This window comes from Homo sapiens, chromosome 4, assembly GCF_000001405.40.
Source record: "Homo sapiens chromosome 4, GRCh38.p14 Primary Assembly".
Classification (NCBI taxonomy): Eukaryota; Metazoa; Chordata; class Mammalia; order Primates; family Hominidae; genus Homo; species Homo sapiens.
The window spans coordinates 104,517,517-104,533,541 of record NC_000004.12 but is presented as its reverse complement, the minus strand read 5'-3'; the positions used below and the strand labels follow the sequence as shown (position 1 = coordinate 104,533,541).

Here is a 16,025-nt window from a genome sequence, read left to right as displayed (position 1 = left end):
GATCCTTCCTGGTCCTGCTTAGAGCACTGAGCAAGTCTTTTCAGATGCTAGGAGTTGTAGGTGAAAGCCACAGAATTAATAATTTTCTGTCACCAGAGTTTTTAATATGGCTGAGTAAGCTAGAGGAGACACAAGAAAATTTCTCACTAAGAAAAGGTCTCCAGGGGTTCAACTCCTATTAATCACGGCTTTCATAGTCTTTAGTGTGATCTGAGGGTTGATCTGAACCATGTTCCTCTAGGTAATTATTTATAGAATTGCAGATGTGGGTAGGGTGAATTACATGGAATGAAAAATCATAGAAACAATAGAAAGGAATATTTTGAGTAGAGGTATAGACTGTGTTGATAAAATAAAACCATGGTAGTTGGCAAAGTAGCCTAACCATACTGCCAGTATAAAATACAACACCATAAGAACTGTTCTTGCATGCTATTTATATAGTGAAGCTGGCCTTTATATGGAGATTGCTATTCAGACAGCAGAAATACTTTGACATGAGGGTTGTTGAAAAATAGAAATCACCAGAGGCCCAAGGTCCAGGATGCTTGGTCTCTGTCAGCTGATGTAGAGGGAAAGTAATTTTTTAAAGTGATATATTTCTTTGGTATGCGGTATTCCTTGAAACAGCTCTCGCCTGCTCCCCTGCATTCAGGCTACATTCCATTCCCTTGCCCTCCTTTGCCCTGTGCTGGCTCCTGTCTTTTGAAAGGTCCAACTCAAGCCTCACCTCCACCTCTTCCTCTTTATCTTAGCCATCCAACCATCAACTTTTTTTTTATTCTTACTAAACCTCTGTCTTGTCTTTCAAATTCACTGCACACCATTGCTTTCTATTTGACAAATTTTGTTCTATAGAATAAATTTCTTTGCCTAAAAGCAAAGACTAAAGTAGCGTCTTAGTGATGGGAAGAAAAGCACTGGTGAAAAAAGAAGTGAAGCTGCACTGTTGCACTGATGCATGATGAGGTAAGAACTATTAATGGAAGCTCTAAAGCAATAGAATTATAGGAAATAAATGTAATGAATAAGAGTGTAAGAAACTCTGAACTAGTTCAAAAGTGTGTGTGTGTGTGTGTGTGTGTGTAGGGAGGGAGAGAGAGAAAAAAAAACTACTGATTTGGAAATTTAAGCACCAAAATTTGTTTTACAAATGCAAATTCGCCACTTAGTTTTATAATGTGCAAATGACCTAAAGTATCCAAAATATAAGTTACCCTGCCAGGATTCTTCCACATTAAATTTTTTTCAAAAGGCACCTTTAAACATTTGTTTCCACATCATTCATTTAAGTTTTTCACTAATGTGCTAAATTATGCAGTACTCCAATTAAAGTCAACTTGGAAAAATCTGAGTGCTTTGTTAAATTAGTACCAGCAGTATTCTTCCAGATAGTTTTCCCTGTGTTCATTTGCCAGAAAGGATTTACAATTTTTTTTCTCAGTTCAGACTCAGATTAATCTAAGAAACATAGTTTTATCAAAGTAATTTGCTTTGGACTCAGAAGTTATTCTTCCCTGCTATAATTTTTGCTTATTTTTAATTTGAGTAATAAATGTTTAAAATTTAATAAATTTAGAATAATAATTACCTATAACTTATGAGTAATAAAATAAAAGCATGCAGTATGCTACAACAATTAGGTCTGGTGCTGAAGTTATCTTGTCCCAGTATTTCCTAGAGCATGAAAGATAAATGTGCATATTCATGGTCCTCAACAAAGTAACAGGATGAAACATCACTCACTTCCAAAACAGATAGGATAAATAGAGTGGCAGCTTTAAAGTCCAGAATGCTCAAAAACTCATTGCCAACACCTTATGACCCCACGTTCAGTACAGCATATAAAGACCCTGAGCTTCAGGCCATGCTGAGCAGTAGAAGAGATTTGCTGGAAAAACAGCTTTCTGAAACATGTCTGAAAAGTTAAGCACAAAATCCCTGCTCCACTAGAGAGCACTAATGACCAAACTCTTCCTGCTGAAACTTTGGCAGGGACAATTTCACTTTTTATAAATCTCCTCAATACATTTTCACCACTTCAATTAACTTCCCTAAAGATCTAATAATATATATGGTGATGAATACAGAATCTTTAATAGAGAATGGCTTCAGTGTTTTGTGTCATGACAGTATTTAACAACAACAACAAAAAAAATAGAGGTAGATTGCAAACTCATTAGTATGACCTGTCTTTTTATTTTAAACTTCAACATAGCACAAAATATTTCAAAGTTACAAACAATGTCAGTACCAAGAGGGAAAGTGATAAATATGACTGTGTGGAATGTGACATCATTTCACTGCTCAAATTCTGGCACAATGTCATCTAGAATTATGCTATGCTCTGTCCTTTACCAAATGGCAATTGTGTGTTCCCTGAGGCTTGTAGTCAATCCTAAAGGGCTGTCCTAGTTTTTAGATGCGAAAGGAATCCAGAAAGCAACACCCAGATTGTTATGTCATTATTATCGAAGAACCATGAAACCATTGGGTAGAGGTGATGCTGGTGAGCATTAAATATATAACATTTCAGCAACACAAAACTAAAATACAATAGAAATTAAAAAGTTTATTTTCTAACTAAAATGAAATATTTTTGAAGAATATATCTTAATTTTGCCATGGAAACCTTGAGAAATAGTGTTCTTTTGATAAATCTTATATATAAATTTATTTGGTTGCCAGCTTCTTCTGAGTCAAAATCCACAGATAACAGTTAGGAACTAAAAGTCCTTTGTAGATTAAATGAGTATTGGATAAAAAACTTCTCAGACTTGGTTGTAAATATACTGACTCAGGATCTCTTTGTTGTGGTCTCTTTCCCCCTCCTCCATATCTCACACATATTTCATAGTTGGCTCCACACTTCCTTCTCAAATCTGTTCTCTCTCCCATATTTCCATTTTCATTGAGATACATCAATCCATTCAATCCATTCAGCTAGAAAACTGTGTGTCATCACTCTCCTCCCAGCCAACTGGCCAAGTCCTAGTGATTCTGTTTCTTAAACCTCCTTCGATTATTTCCTCTTGTTTCCGGGCTCTCTATGACAGCTTTAGGTAGGCCCTCATTTATCTCATTTGGATTTATAAATTATTAGTTATCTCTCTGCTTCTAGTCTCTTCCTTTCGAATGCACCCTCCCCATTAACACAAGTGCTTTTGCTTTCTCACCCCTACTTCAATACTTATATGCCTCTTTATTGCCGGCAAGAGTACTTCATATACTTTTTAATGTTACAAAACAGTGTAATAAGTGCTGTAGTTGACATATGCGAGATATGTCTGTGTTTCAAAGGATGGCAAGATCAACACTAATCAATTTTAATGCAAAACCTCCTCCATCTGCCCCACTGCTTATAGGAGGGATCACACCCTCAGACAGGAGATCTTTTACAAAGTGGTATATGTTTAATGAAATTGAGACTAGAACACAAACTTTGGAGAGAGTAATACATTCAAATTTCTAACCCACCAGGTACGAGATGTGTATCTGGACAAGTCATTATATCTTTCCAAGTCCAGTTTTTTACCTCTAAAATGGGGATAATTATGCCTACAATACAGAGTTTATGTGATGGTTCATTAAGACAATTGTTTTTATGTCTCTAACACAGTGGTTAGTGCATAGTAGGTATTCATAAATATTTGTACTTGTTCCTGTAAAGATATGTAGGAAAACAAGAACATACCTTACTGCGAAAAGTCCCTTCAAGCAGGGAAAAACACAGAAAATAGCTTGTCCAAGTATAACTGTATGGCGTATTTGAGGAACTCTAAGTGATTAAGCAGTTTGAAGGGGAGAACAAACAGGATATAAAAATTGAGGGAAAAAAAATGGTTTGTTCATAGAGGATCTTATGTTTTACCTTATATCCCTTCCTCTATACTAATCTATTTAAGCCTTTTCAACTTTCTGGTCACTTTCATTCCCTCTGTAACTAAGTTTATGAACTTAGGAGACCATATTCACTGTTTCTATTTTTCTCAACCAACTTCAGTCTAGTTTCTAGTCCCATCACTCCATTGATGTTATCATCGACATCACTAACAACTTCTTAATAGCCACATCAGGTGGACCCTTGACAGCCCACAATCTTCTTGAACTGTTTGGAGGATTTTGGTATATTACTCGACTTTTGGAAAATCACTTCTTTCTTGATTTCAATTATTTCTTTCATGTTTATGGTTTTATTTTTATCTATCTGGCCCTTTCCTTACCATCTCTTTCAGGAGATCCTAATTCTTTACCATCTCTTAAATCCGTGATTCTGTCCTTGGATCTTTTCTTTCTTTATTTTTATTGTCTCTTTTAGAACTCATCTTCAAAAGTAGCTTTAGGTTTCTACAGAGTCCTTATAATTCTCAAATCTAATATGTGCTATAAGCCCACACCACTCTACTTATAGTTTTAATCTCCCTACTAGACTGATTTCTATAAGGAGCAAAAACCTTGTCTTTCTTGTTCAATCCTTTGAACCGCCTAACTGTGGTAGACTGCATTTCTGTTTTCAATTCTTTGCTCCTTGCTGTATCCATTTACCAAGTGGTTTTATATTCCCTCCTTTAGAGGCAATATGCTTTCCTAACACATTGATGTTGGCCTTGGCCGCATGACTTGCTTTGGCCAATGCAATGTGGGCAGAATGACAGGAATACAGCACCAAACCCAGTCATAAGAGGTTCTATGTGCTCTACCCTCCCCTCTGGTGTTCTTACCCTCCCTCTGTCTAGAGTTTCTACTGGGAAACTGATGCCCATTCATCATTCCATCACTGGAATGATGGAACCAATTTATTCCAGTGATTCTGTAGGTGTGCATAATGAAGCAGAACAGTCCCAGCCAACTTGTGACTGGGATAATAATTAATATTTCAAGCTGCTGAATTTCTTGTTTATTTTTGATGCAGTATCTTTGTAATATAGCTAAGATATTAGTTAATACCAATGTGCAGTACATTTTGATAAACATTTGTTGATGAATGAAAATGGAGCCTTTGGGTTAAATGTAATCTTAGTCAAAACATAATTATAAACCAAACAAAAATGTAGCAGCTCTTGTGAAATGGGCATGGTGAGAATTGGCGGCCATGGAGTGGGTACTGCTTGGATCTCCTTCTAGAAAACCTGTTGGAGAAGCATGGTTGACTGCAGATCCACCATATTTGTACCGAGGCCATCTTTCTACCAGTCTAGTTACAGCCAGTGAGTAAGCACAGCGTGCATACTAGTGCTGTCCCATTCGTGAAAATGCAGTCTCTCTCTTTGGCAACTTTGGCTAAGAGACACTTCATGGGTGAGGTAAGACTTTCTTGCAGTTTTGCAGTTTGGCTCTTCCTATTCAATTCTTCTTTCCTCTCTCTTTTCACAAACCAGCATTGTGGTCTAAATATCTCCACCTGCCTGCTCCTGCTGCCTTCCCTTCATCCTTCATAGCTCCCCAAGAACATCCTTTATGTCTAAACTTGTCTTGAAATTTGATTCTCAGAGGACCAGAACTGACAAGGACCAAGTGCTTAGTCTATTTTGAGCTGCTTTAAAGTGATGTTCCCCCTGAGAGACACCTAATTGCTCATGGGAGCACAGGTTGAAAACCACTGGACTTGTGAGTAATATCCAAAATCCTCATCGCAGCACATGTGATTCTTTATACAATGCTCTTTACTTTATTTTCTGCTTCTTCTCCCTAGAAATGGTAGTCTCCACCAACTTGAAGTGTTACATATATCCATATGATCACTCTTAACAAGCAATGTGATGCTTATCACATAGAAATACTATCCGTCAATGAGATACCATCTCATGCCAGTCAGAATGGCAATTATTAAAAGGTCAAAAAACAAACAAACAAACAAAAACAGATGCTGGCGAGGTTGTGGAGTTAAAGGAACACTTACACTATTGGTCGGAGTGTAAATTAGTTCAACCTTTGTGAAAGACAGTGTGGCAATTCCTCAGTGACCTAGAGGCAGAAATACTATTTGACTTAGCAATCCCATTACTGAGTATATACCCAAAGGAATAGAAATCATTCTGTTATGAAGATACATGCACGCGTATGTTCATTGAAGCACCAGCCATGATAGCAAAGACATGGAATCAACCTAAATGCCCATCAATGATGAACTAGATAAAGAAAATGTGGTACATAAACACCATGGAATACTACGCAGGCATAAAAAGCAAGATCATGTCCGTTGCAGGGACACGGATGGAGTTGGAAGCCATTATACTTAGGAAACTAACACAGGAACAGAAAAACCAAACACGGCATATTCTCACTTAGAAGTGGTTGCTGAATGATGAGAACACATGGAAACATGGGGGAAGAACGCACACTAGGGTTTGTCAGAGACAGGATGGGGGAGAGCATCAGGAAGAATAGCAAATGGATGCTGGGCTTAATACCTAGGGGATGGGATGATCTGTGTGGCAAACTACCATGGCACATGTACCCCTGAACTTAAAATAAAAGTTGAAGAAAAGAGAAAAGGAAATACTATCCCTAACAAAGTGTAGGATATATTCTAAAAATATATCTTAATAAATTTGAAAATAAAGCAGGGATTCTCCAAAAATAATTGATTTAATCCAAACTTTTTTCTCTACTTGCAGATCAAGCTACCAGCAAATGCACCAGCAACCTGACCATTCAAGGCAGTTACCCCACATCTTGCAAAAATAGTATAATATGATTGCTGGCTACACTAACTAACGTATTGTCTTTACAATGATAATCAATAGTTTTAAAAGATGTAATTTCCTGGTAGAACTCTATTTGTTTTGTTTTCTACAAATTTGGTGGTAATGATACAAAAGTAATTTGAATATTACTTTAGAAATTATATATATATATATATATACACACACATATACATAGAGAGTTTTATCTTTTAGGAAAATCATAATTCTGCTCTTGCAGCTTACAGTTAACTTTTCATTTTCCTTTACATACACAATAACAATGACATCCCAAAATATGGCATACAAAATTGTCATTTTTTCTAGATTTCTGTACTATCATAGATTTAACTGGATCCAGTTAAATCTATATAATAGTATAGAAATCTGTACTATTGAACTGGAAAAATTTAGTAATCCTCTTCTCAGTACCATAGTCCATAAATTTATAGAATCCTCCATTTTTTAAGGTTTTACTTTTTTCTATTAAAATGACACATGGCCAGGTGTAGTGGGTCATGCCTGTAATCCCAGTGCTTTAGGAGGTGAAGGCAGCAGAATAGCTTGAAGCCAGGAGTTCAAGATCAGCCTAGGCAACATAGTGAGACTCTGTCTCTAAAAATGTAAAATAAGACAATTAGCCAGGCATGGTAGCACACACCTGTAGTTGTAGCTACTCAGGAGGCTGAGGTGGGAGGATCGCTTGAGCCCAAGAGTTCAAGGCTGTGGTGAGCTATGATTGGGCACTGTACTCCAGCCTAGGGGACAGAGAGAGACCCTGTATCAAGTAAATAAATAAATAAATAAATAAACTTTTTAAAAAATAAGAGACCATAGAAACGAAACAAAATCCTAGGGAAAAAAAACAGTATAAACACATATTTTTTATACTCTGAAGTATACAAAATTACTCTGAATCCCACATTGCCCAAGGAAATAAAGTCATCATGAACACTTCGGTATATTTTATTTAAAATACAGATAGATAGCTGCATATAAATACAGACCCACAAATAGATATTCCAGCATATGTAACTTTAATATAATGGGATATACATATGCGTGTGTGTATAATATACATATACAAAAATGTGTTTAATTTCTAGGTTTTATCTTAAGCATCTTTGGGGAGAGGGGGAATTAGGAACTAAATGTATTGGTGGGGATTTAAATAAAAAATTCTGTGTCGAATATGTGGAGTTTGTGTCTACAAGATTCCCAAGTAAAAATACTGAGGAAGCAGTTTGTATGTACGTGGAGCTCAGGGGAGAAGTCAGTTATATGATGTTGTAATGCTACATTTAAGGTTTTATGTCAGACTTTCAAATGGTAGCGCATTGGCTTCTTCCTGTGCTATCTGAAGTGATTTCAACTCACTAATTTATTCAACAAATATGTATTGCATTATCTGGTAGCTAATATAAAGTGATACATAAAACAGTAAATATGTAGCCAATCAGAAGCTTATAATCTAGTAGGAGAGATGACAAACAAGTAAACAAAGAACACTGTAAACAAATATTCCAGATAGTAATGAAGAAAAAAATGTTGAAAAACAACTGCTTGATTTGAGAGTCGGGGCATTTTAAATGGGTAGTCTGAGAAGATACTTTCTGAGGAAATAACTTAGATCCAAAGTCTAAAGAATGAACCACATGTTTGATGCTATGATGGGGGGCCTGTCAGGCAGAGATGAACTTAAGAGTAAAGGTCTTGAGAAAGCAACAAAGTTGATATTTAGGAAACACAAAGTGTAATTAGCAGGAAAAAGTACTGTAACATAAAGTTAGTATGATAGAAAAGGATGGGTCATATGGAGCCTTGCAGGCCTTAGTGTGGTGGTCAGATCTTATTAGATGTACAACTAGAGGACTTAGGAGAGTTTTAAATGTTATACTTTCTGGCTGTTGGGTTGAGAGTAGAAAAGAGTGGTTCAAGTGACAGTAGAGAGACAAAGTAGAAGACTATAGCTATGCACCTTATGAGACATGATGGTGCTTCTATTTTTTAAATATTTTGAATAAAAAAGCATGTGACTCACTTTGGATTTCCTGTGGGGGTTATGGATGCAAAGATGTCAAAGATGACTCATTCCTAGGTTTTGTCTTGAACAGTCTGATGGCTGATGATATCATTTACTGAGATGGGAAAACTATGGAAGAAACAGGCAGTGAGGGACACCAAAATAAGAAGTTTGGACGGAATCTTTTATTTTTGAGGTTCTATGGAATATAAAAGTAAAGATATGAATTGACAGGTAGATAGATGAATTCAGAGACCTTGGAGTTGTCAGCACTTTGATAAAATTCAAAGCCATGAATGAGACTATGTAAGATCATCTAGAGAAGCAGACCAAAAAGAGAAGAGAAGTCTAGGGCAAAACTCTGAGAAACTGTGATATTTAGATCAAGTTCAAAAAGGAGGAGCCAGAACAGGAGACTGAAATTAATCAGACAGTGAGCAGCCTGGAAACTAGATGAATGGGGTATCCCTGATCTAAAAGAAAGAAATTTTTCAGGATTCATCACTGAGAGGAACGCTGCTGAGAGAGCTAGTAAAATGAGACAGAGAAGTGATTATTAGAATAGTGAACTACATGTGGTCAGTGGAGTTGACAATAGCAATTTCTGTGGAGATGTGGGTTCAGACACTGACTTGCTGCAAGTGGAAGAATAAACAAGCGAGGAGCAAGGAATACAGCCAGAGCAGATCATTTGTGCATGACATCTGGTGGTTAATAAAGGCAAGAAAATTTGGGCAATAGACTTTCTTTGCTTTTTGGATATGTGATACTATAAGTGAGTTTTATTTATTTATTTTTTTTTAGGATATTGGAATAATTCTGGAGAGAAAGATCTTGATTACACAGGAATGAGAAGGGGTATCTTGTAGATGCCCTTGAAAAGATAAGGGTATGTGGGATTCAGAAAACAAGTACAGGGTTTGTCTGGCTCTTGCAATAGCTACAGTTTAACTCGTGTAATAGGAGGATAGAAAACACAGGAACAAATGCAAGTAGATGTATAGATTTGCTGCTGTTTGGGAAGAATTTTTGCCTGATTATTTCTATTTCTCAATAGAGAATGAAGAGACATAATTAAGAATTGGACTGTATGCAGAAGAAAGGGTGGCCAGTTGTGATGAGAAGAAATTAAAGTTACAAAAGAAAGGTTTCAAGATATGGGGAAGTAGAGTATGGGAAAGAAAAATGGTAGGCTTTTCAGGCAGTCTAGTGCATTTATTCATAAGTTTATTCGTGATTTAAAATTTGACCTTAGTAAATCACTTTTTTGTCTTATTTACCTGTTTTTTTTTAATGGTGTGTTTCTTTTGAATTCGTGTAAATTTTTTATATATGAAGATATTACGCTCTGGAATGTTTCTTATAATTTTTTTTTCCATTTGGGAGGTTGCTCTTGTACTTTTGCTCATAATTTTTGGCATAGAAAATATTTCATGCTATTTATGTAGCATAGAGAATGTTTTATTTTATGTAGGTTATTAAAACTACAAGTGTTTTCTATTGTTTTGTTTTCCAGGCTTCCATTGCAACTTCTACAGAAAGTTCAGGAAAATAACGACTTTCAACATTATAGAATTTCAAGTTAGAAGTGATCATTTTCAACTGATGAATCTCATTGAGGAAGATGAGGCATCAAGAGGTAGAAGACTAACTCAGCAGGTGGTACAGCTTAGGTTAGAGAGCAGGTCTGCCCAACTCCTGAGCAAACTAGTTTGTGACATTAATGTTCCCAATCTCATCTCTTTTAATAGTATCTAATATTCCAAAGCTAGGGAACCTCGGATTTTACCTATGCATCATAGAGTACTAGTTACCATATGGAGATGATATAAATGGAAAGATATCTTGCTCTACAGGTAGTCTAGAGGATTAGAGTCTTTGGGCCAGTACATCTCCCCTGGTACTGCTGGACTACAATTTCTATGACATCTGTACTTTGTTACTTTCTGTGTCTCTGCAAAAGTGTCTTCTGGATTCTTTTTAAGTCGAATCTCAAACTGGACCAAAGATATTAGATGTTTGTTTAGGCATGGGATAGATTATGGAGAAATAGGAACACTTTTACACTGTTGGTGGGACTGTAAACTAGTTCAGCCATTGTGGAAGTCAGTGTGGCAATTCCTCAGGGATCTAGAACTAGAAATACCATTTGACCCAGCCATCTCATTACTGGGTATATACCCAAAGGATTATAAATCATGCTGCTATAAAGACACCTGCACATGTATGTTTATTGTGGCACAATTCACAATAGCAAAAACTTGGAACCAACCCAAATGTCCAACAATGATAGACTGGATTAAGAAAATGTGGCGCATATACACCATGGAATACTATGCAGCCATAAAAAATGATGAGTTCATGTCTTTTGTAGGAACATGGATGAAGCTGGAAACCATCATTCTCAGCAAACTATTGCAAGGACAAAAAAACCAAACACTGCATGTTCTCACTCATAGGTGGGAATTGGACAATGAGAACACATGGACACAGGAAGGGGAACATCACACACTGAGGACTGTTGTGGGGTGGGGGTCTGGGGGAGGGATAGCATTAGGAGATATACCTAATGTAAATGAGGAGTTAATGGGTGCAGCACACCAACATGGCACATGTATACATATGTAACAAACCTGTACGTTGTGCACATGTACCCTAAAACTTAAAGTACAATAATAATAGTAAAAAAAAAGAATTCAAACATTACTAAAAATCTAAAGCATAAAAATAAGAGTGGGGTTACATGCTGTAAATCTAATTTTAGTATTTTGAGCTGTATTAAAGAAATTCTGTGTAGTTTGTACTTTTGAATGGAATCTCCTCTATATGATAGGGTTTTCCTTCAGTTGCTAGTGCAAAGAGGGAAAAGGGGGAGGGGAGAATTTTTGAGAAGTTTTTGCATGTAAAAACTAGCATATAGAGGTTAGAATATGATCCTAGAAGCAAAAGAAGCACTTTTATTTATTTAACACAATTTTCAAAATAAGTATTGCCCTTCAAAATCTTCCTTGATGAAAACTATTCAAATACTAAGGACATTTTCTAATTAACTTGTCACTGATCATCTTGTTTCAAATATCTTGAAACTAAATCTTTAAGAGAACTGTTGAATCAAAGATTGTAAGGAAAAATTTTTGTACCCTTAATAAAATATGCACATCAAAAGGAAGATAAGGTCATTCTGCTTGCCTAGATTGTTATATTCTACACAATGCTAATCAGAAAAATTATGTTGCAGCGGTTAGTCCAGTCAGGTATAACTTTCTCCACATGAGGATATAAATGTCTAAACCTCTGTCCCACTATCAAAGAGCACATTAGCACTTTTACAAATAATTAGAAACATTTTCAACTGAATAAAGGGAAGTTTTTAGCAACTTGGGAAATTTTCACTAGTCTTTCTGTTTACACTGTGGTAATGATAATTCATCTCTTAGCCATCAGTATCTTGAGGATGTTCAATAACATTCCTGTGAATTCTCCTCAGAGAAGTTTTTTTAAATAAACAGCATAGCGTAACTGTCTTAGTCCTTGCTGATTTGAATAACAAGTTGTATGTGGCTATCTGTGTGTTTGTATGCACAGATATATCTGTGTAATACTTAAAAACCTTTTGGCCTAGGTGGGGCTTGGTTCTCTGAGTCTGGCTAGTTTGTTTTCTCGGTTGCACGTATTGTGTTGAAAACAAGCATGCTCAGCTGATGAGGCAGTAAAAATGGCAGATTCTTTCTGCTAGGCATTTTTATTTTTATTTTTTTGATTTTTCATTGCAAGGGACCATTTTGACTTTCTAGCCTTGATACTGAATAGATCATTTTGAAAACTGTAGACTTCATTTACATAGAATCAGAGGTGATGGGTGCAGGAGTAACTGCTGCATTATAGACTGAGTTATACTAGGTAACATGTAAAATAGTGTGGTTATGATTAGCCTGGCAGTATAATTATATCCATGTCACTGTGTTTCTTGGAGTATTAATGACATTTTGTGTAAAGCAGTTCTTTATTGGCTGGATTTCCAGGAGTACCCACAAGACACTTATAGTTTTGGTCATTGCCAACAATATGCAAGTAGTGCCACTCAGACATTCTGGTAATCGAAAATGTCCCTTCGTATTTCTAAATACTCCAAAGAGGAATAGGTAACACCCCAGGTTGTGGACTACTAAATAAAAGATTTCATAAAGTTCACACTAATAAAATTTTCCAAGTGAACCCTTGTTTTACTCTTAGATCTGGTTTTACACTTAGATCTTCTAAAGCCCATCCTGAAATGCTACTTTTTAAATACTACCTAAAATCTGGTACAGCTCTGCTCTGTAAGATTTCACAAAGGGCAACATCAAAATGAGGTTTGGTTTTTTTCTCAGTGCTAGTCCCATCTTGGGTTCACTCTCTCCTGCCACATACTTTGGGTAAAAATTTAGAGTGATTTCTCTGAAAGATAATACATTGCCCCTTTTGTGTTTTCTTTTGGAGGCTCTTCCACTCTATTTGCTGCTTTCCAACTCATGGTTTAAGGATCTAATCTCCAACAGGTGAGAGATTCTGGGATGAGTTGAATCACTGTTCACCTAGAGAAGAGATGAAAGATCATAAGCAATGTTTGTATATACCTGGGTTAGTAGAGTTGCTAGAGAGAGTGGAAGAAATATTCCAAAAAGAAAGCTAGGAGATCAAGGGGGTTAAAAAAAAGAATAGTAAAATGTTGCCAAATTAAGAATACATCGCGAAATCAAGGGGAAAATAAAAATTTGAACCACTGGAACTGTATAACAGGTTGCATATTCCCTATAAGGTAAATCAGAATCATCTGAAAACAAAAAGCAGCTTCTGGTTCTTTCCACAGAAAGAAAGAAGACTTGTAGGTACCAGGAGTTGAGGAAACCAGCTTCAGGCCCAGGGAATGGAGATGAGAAATGATATGACTTAACTCCACATGACATTTCTGCAACAGTTATAATTTAGATCTGACCTAGCTCCTTAAAACTGTAATGTTTTTGTTTGTTTTGCTTTTGTTTTTGTTTCTTTCTGTTTTGAAACTGAAAGTCTGGCTTAATTTATCAGGTTCACAAGGTTTTTCTATCTACTTCTGCTTTTTCATGTAGGTGAAGGATTGTATACTCTGTTGACTTGGGAAATTTTATAAGGAGGTAAATGCATCTAATTAGGTATCACAAAGCCCACATAAGATAAGATAAAAGATAAGACAAGGTTGGTGCAAAAGTAATTGCAGTTTTTGCATTGTTGAAATTTGCCTTTTGATATTAGAATAAGTTCTTAAGTGTGGTTGTGTTATACATCATTTTAATGCACATTTCTCACTTTATGTCTTTTTGCTAATGACTTATTACTTGCTGTTTATTTTATGTTTATTTTAGACTATGGAAATGGTGTCAGACAAAAAGCAAATTCGAGTGATTTTCTTATTCAATTTAAAAATGGGTCATAAAGCAGCAGAGACAACTCGCAATATCAACAACGCATTTGGCCAAGGAACTGCTAACAAATGTACAGTGGTAGCTCAAGAAGTTTTGCAGAGGAGACGAGAGCCTTGAAGATGAGGAGCATAGTGACCAGCCATCAGAAGTTAACAACTGCCAACTGAGAGCAATTATTGAAGCTGATCCTCTTACAACCACACAAGAAGTTGCCAAAGAGCTTGACGTCGACCATTCCAGGGTCGCTTGGCATTTGAAGCAAATTGGAAAGGTGAAAAAGCTCAATAAGTGGGTGCTTCATGAGCTGAGTGAAAATTTAAAAAAATCATCATTTTGAAGTGTTGTCTTCCCTTATTCTATGCAACAACGATGGACCATGTCTTGATAGGATTGTGACGTGTGACGAAAAGTGGGTTTTATATGACAACCAGTGATGACCAGCTCTGTGGCTGGACCGGGAAGAAGCTCCAAAGCACTTCCCAAATCCAAACTTGCACCAAAAAGAAGGTCATGGTCACTGGTAGTCTGCTGATGGTCTGATCCGCTACAGCTTTCTGAATCCTGGTGAAACCATTATATCTGAGGACTATGCTCAGCAAATCTATGAGATGCACCAAAAACTGCCACACCTGCAACTGGCATTGGTCAATAGAAAGGGCCCAATTCTTCTCCATGACAACGCCCAACCACACGTCGCACAACCAATGCTTCAAAAGTTCAATGCATTGGGCTACCAAGTTTTGGCTCATCCTTCATATTCACCTGACCTCTCATCAACAGACTACCACTTCTTCAAGCATCTCCACAACTTTTTGCAGGTAAAACGCTTCCACAACCAGCAGGATGCAGAAAATTCTTTCCAAGAGTTTGTCAAATCCTGAAGCATGGATTTTTATGCTATAGGAATAAGCAAACTTATTTCTCATTGGCAAAAATGTGTGATCATAATAGTTTTTATTTTGATTAATAAGGATGTGTTTGAGCCTAGTCATAAGAATTTAAATTTCACGGTCCAAAAATGCAATTACTTTTGCACCAACCTAAGTACCTAAAGTATGCTTTACTTTCATAAAGCAGAACAAATGTGGATTTCTTTAAGAAGAAAAAGAACTATTAGAAAAAAATGTGAGTATAGCATTGATACATATACACACATACATGCACACACACACCCGTGTGTGAAAATCCAAGAATATGAAAAAAAATTATAATGACTTATAGACGACCTTCTCTATGCAAAGCACTTTCCCAGGCAATGAACCTACAAAATCTTTAGTTCTCACTAAAACCCGGCAAGGCATTCACATTTTACAAATGAGAAAACTGAAATTGAGAGAGTGTTAGTAAGTTGGATATTGCACATGTAATTTTTTGTATAGCCAGGATTCCAACCTAGTGTTTGTGATTTAAAAATTTACAGTTTTTAGTATTTTTTTCAGTGCATGTAAATTAGATTGAGAGGATTGAATGCAGCCTCGTTACCTTTGTGTGAGCGATTTATCCCAGCTAAAGGATACTGATAAGTACCTTTTTCATATATTTCACAAAATTAGGAAAAGAGGAATGACCAAAAATTGTGGAAGACTTTAATTCTATAGATATTAGCCATGGATTTTAAAAATTATTGGCTTGTGTTGATAATATTGGAACTCTCAGAAAGTGCATAAAGTAATAAGTGGAGTAATGTGAACTTTATTTAAAAAAAAAAGAACTGACTAGTGAAAAAAAAGTAACAGGAACTTTGGAAGTAAGTAATCATGTAATTTTGAGTTTAAATTGATCTGTGACAGGGACATTTATTTCAGAACTTTTTGTATGTTTAAAAATAAAATTTGGAAACTACTAGAATGTTCCCTAGTATGGAAAGTTGAACAAATT

At 36.2% G+C, this 16,025-nt stretch overlaps 2 long non-coding RNA genes across 3 annotated transcripts in view; one reads left to right on the top strand and one right to left on the bottom strand.

Moving 5' to 3' along the window:
- The window catches only part of CXXC4-AS1 (CXXC4 antisense RNA 1), a 206,628-nt gene that overhangs the window by 164,051 nt on the left and 26,552 nt on the right, over window positions 1-16,025 (bottom strand). The window lies entirely within an intron of this gene.
- Window positions 1-16,025, top strand: part of LOC124900745 (uncharacterized) — a 141,925-nt gene that overhangs the window by 122,398 nt on the left and 3,502 nt on the right. For both annotated transcript variants that reach the window (XR_007058211.1, XR_007058210.1), the window contains 3 exons: window positions 10,223-10,345; window positions 13,186-13,244; window positions 14,088-14,965. This is a non-coding gene — a long non-coding RNA (uncharacterized LOC124900745). The remainder of the gene's footprint in view (window positions 1-10,222; window positions 10,346-13,185; window positions 13,245-14,087; window positions 14,966-16,025) is intronic.